The following is a 4224-nucleotide window of genomic DNA, read 5'->3' as shown; positions in this document are numbered from 1 at the left end:
GAGAACTTTTCCTTTTCTTTTCTGGAACTCAAAATTTAATGGCCTGGCAAGAACCTTGGGAAATGAAAAAACATAGTATTTACATGGTTCCTAGAATCGTGGAAAATTTTATGGGCTAAAATAAGTGAATTGAAGATGCCAGAACTACTGTGGCAGAAAGTTAAAAAAAGGAACAAAAGACTCAGAGAAGTGGGATGCCAGATTGCATATGCTATGTAATGTTGGAAAATAGGCCAAAAAAATATTTTCCCTGGAGGAGTTGGAGGACAATTTTACCAAAGCAATAAAGAATATGCTGTTGAGAATGACATCAGCATCACTGAGAATCTCATATGTGACTCTCTTCTTTAGGCCAGGGCTGAAGGTAAGAAATTGTATTAGAGAACTAGCCTTCCTGATAGCAATGTGTATGAGAAGATCCTCCAGAAATAGAGACTAGGAGGTGGTACATTATTGTCAAAATCCAGGTGAGCACAATTAACATAGTGTGAGCAAGGTTGTATGGAAGGTAGCCTTGCTCTCAAAGGAAGAAGTCTTTCACTTGGTTTAATAGCAAGAAACCTATTGAATGGTAAGCTATGGCAGCCATCTGGGCTCTTTGGACTCGACCGTACCAAGGTACCGGCAGGCAAGAAGAAGTTTTCATTTTTGCATGGATAATTAATGCTGATTATTAGGCAGAATTAAGGCTGCTGTTAAAGAATATGGTTAGAGAGGAATAATAACTTCAGCATCTCTTGGGATAGCATGGCCCAATTTTGATATAGTTTCACAAGTTCATTTGCCACAGCCTAGAACAGCACAGCGATCAGTAGTACAGACAGCTCAGAGATGAAGTTCTTGGTTATCGCAACAGGCAGGCCACCCAGATCAGCAGAGTTGCTGAGATTGAAAAGGGATGCAGAATGGGGAGTAGAAGAAGGAAATACACTTTATCGGTTGCAGCCTCAAGGCTAGGGATTGACTGAGGTGGGCTGAAATGCCATCACTCCCAAGGTTATGCTTTCTTTCAGAGAAGGCCTGAATCCAATTACTAGCCGATGCATGTTATTAAGGACCAGCCCCAACTACGGACATCTCTGAGTGCCATGTCAGCTTCAGAGCTGAGGTCTTTTTGCCATAGCACTGCAGCCCAATTTCTCCATCCAAGCAATCCTTGTTTTTCCCCTTCCCTAAGGTATTATTCCTGAGATTATTTTCCAATTATTTTTTGTATGTATTAATCTCTGTCTCAGAGTCTGCTTTCCAGAAAATCCAACCTATAACAGCCTTCAAGAACAAAGATACCTCTGATTACTCCAAAGATTGTGTTCTCATAAAGTCATTTTCAAAGGCAGAAAAAAATGGAGTGTTGGAAACAGTGAGGTCATCAGTTAGAAGACTATTATACCAATCCACCTGAGGAAAAAAAAAGTCTTGAAGCAAAGTTTATGTAGATAGAAACTTTAAAGATGGAGATTTAAGGCTAATCTGGAAGGCTGTCCAACAGGTATCACTAATATGTTGGAAATCATGTATAAAAGATTAATAAGATGGGAATATTGATACATATATTTTCAATCAAAGGCAAATATTTTCTCAAAATAGTTGAGCTCATATTTTCGTTTTTTTCCTTGCTAATAAAAATATTTTCTTGTCATGGCCAGGCGCAGTGGCTCACCCCTGTAATCCCAGCACTTTGGGAGGCCAAGGTGGGGGGATCACGAGGTCAGGAGATCGAGACCGTCCTGGTTAACACGGTGAAACCCCGTCTCTACTAAAAACACAAAAAATTAGCCGGGCGTGGTGGTGGGCGCTGGTAGTCCCAGCTACTCGGGAGGCTGAGGCAGGAGAATGGCGTGAACCCAGGAGGCGGAGCTTGCAGTGAGCCGAGATCGCGCCACTGCACTACAGCCTGGGTGACAGAGCGAGACTCCGTCTCAAAAAAAAAAAAAAAAACTTCTTGTCACAAGAACAACTGTAATAATAATAATAATTAACAGAGTTTGACTTCTTCAAGACAAACCTGTGTCTTAGGAGTTTACATATAATACCCATGTCATCAAAGAATCTTTCCATGAATTCTCCAGGAAATTACTTTTACGTAATATTGCTTTGTTGGCATATCACTCTTTTTCAGGACACCAATATTATGTAGCATATATACTTATCAATCCCCTTACTAGCAACCTTCTCATGCATGTTTCTGTTAAAAAATTCAATTAGCAAGAAATGCTATAAATGAGCCAAAACCAGGCAATTCAAATTAAAGACTAAATTATTTCTGATGATTAAACCTCAAACTGTTTTTGGTCTTCATGTCACTCATTGTGACTGAAAAGACAGAGATATCAGAATCATAGCTGTTAGTTCTTTACATCTGCTGCTCTAATTGCTTCTCATGTGAAAGTTCATGTCAATGTTAACAAATTGTGACTGCTCAGGTCGGTGTCCATTTATAATCTACATAAATGTATCTGTAATTTTTACTTGTTTTGGTAGGCAATTAATCTATATAATCATTTTGTGAATCCCCAAAATTGAGTCACTCATTGTTGATGATTATACTTCATTATGACAATTAAAGTGCACTGTTTACTGGGCTGTAATGCTGTTAGACTATAAGTCTTGAGACTGTGAAATTCAAGTACTTGATGGCCATAATTTGCACATAAAACATAATCAAATTAGCAATGTAATATTTATGTTTATTGACTTTAGGACAATACTATTTACTCCAATTTGTGATCAATTAACCAATCAAAACTGCATTTTTGGTTTTGATAATAAATGAAAAACAGATGAGATATTATGAGATGATGCTTTAGGAAATACCTCATGCAATTTTATGGCTCTGCCAGATTGCCATACCAGCATCTGGGCCTAGAGACTGTGATTTTATCAACTGAGAAAAAGGGAGGAAAGTAAAACCATAGTTACTAGCAGAACTGTGAAAAATAAATCATCAAAGCTACCATTTAAAAAATATATGGAGTACATATTTATTAAAATTACATGACTGGTACTAGAACAATAAGTAATAAGTTTTAATTTATAATATTATGATTTTGTGGAACAATAAAATCAGATTAGGAATTTCGGAAAGCAAACGTGATTTTCCAAAATACTGTTATCTTGGCATCCTTAATCAAAGAAGAAAAATTAATAAACTTCTAGAAAATACCCTAACTTGTCTATGCATTTAGAACTTTTAACTATATATAGCTATGTGTATGTATAATGAGATAACATCATAGTGAATTTGGGGGAAGGAAAACATTCTTTGACCTCAATGGGAGGGTAAAGAATATACCAGTATTCCTAGTCTTTTTCTGTCCCTTCACTCATTCCAGCTCTGAGAAAAACAAGTAAACTGGCACCTGAAAATTTCCAGAAGAAATTGTGTACTCTTTCTCCATTATATGTATTATGCAGAGGCAACTCATCATTCATCCAACTCTGCCTGGAAAAGGGTAAACCAACTTCTATAATTTTGTGGTTTGGTACTAAGATGCCCATGTTTCAATAATGGCAAACTGAATCCAGCAGCATATCAGAAAGCTTACCATAATCAAGTATGCTTTATCCCTAAGATGCAAGGTTGGCTCAACATATACAAATCAACAAAGGTGATACATCACATAAACAGAACTAAAGACAAAAACCACATGCTCATCTCAATAGATGCAGAAAAGGCTTTCAATGAAAACCAATAAACCTTCATGTTAAAAATTCTCAATAAACTAGGTATTGAAGGAACATATCTCAAAATAATAAGAGCCATGTATGACGAACCCACAGACAATATCATACTGTATAGGCAAAGGCTGGAAGCATTTCCCTTGAAAACCAGCACAAGTCAAGGATGCCCTTTCTCACCACTCCTATTCAATATACCATTGGAAGTCCTGGCCAGAGCAGTCGGGCAAGAGAAAGAGGTAAAGAGCATCCAAATAGGAAGTGAGAAAGTCAAACTATTTCTGCTTGCAGACAACATAATTCTTCATCTAGAAACCTCCCTGTCTTAGACCAAAAGCTTCTTAAGATGATAAACAATTTCAGTGAAGTCTCAGGATACAAAATCAGTGTACAAAAATCAGTAGCATTCCTATACACCAACAACAGTCAAGCTGCGAGCAAAATCAGGAACACAATCTCATTCACAACTACCACAAAAAGAAGAAAATACCTAAGAATACAGCTAACCAGGAAGGTGAAAGTTCTCTACAACAAGAATTAACAAAA

This window comes from Homo sapiens, chromosome 4 (assembly GCF_000001405.40).
Source record: "Homo sapiens chromosome 4, GRCh38.p14 Primary Assembly".
Lineage (NCBI taxonomy): Eukaryota > Metazoa > Chordata > Mammalia > Primates > Hominidae > Homo > Homo sapiens.
Note: the sequence above shows the minus strand (reverse complement) of the source record.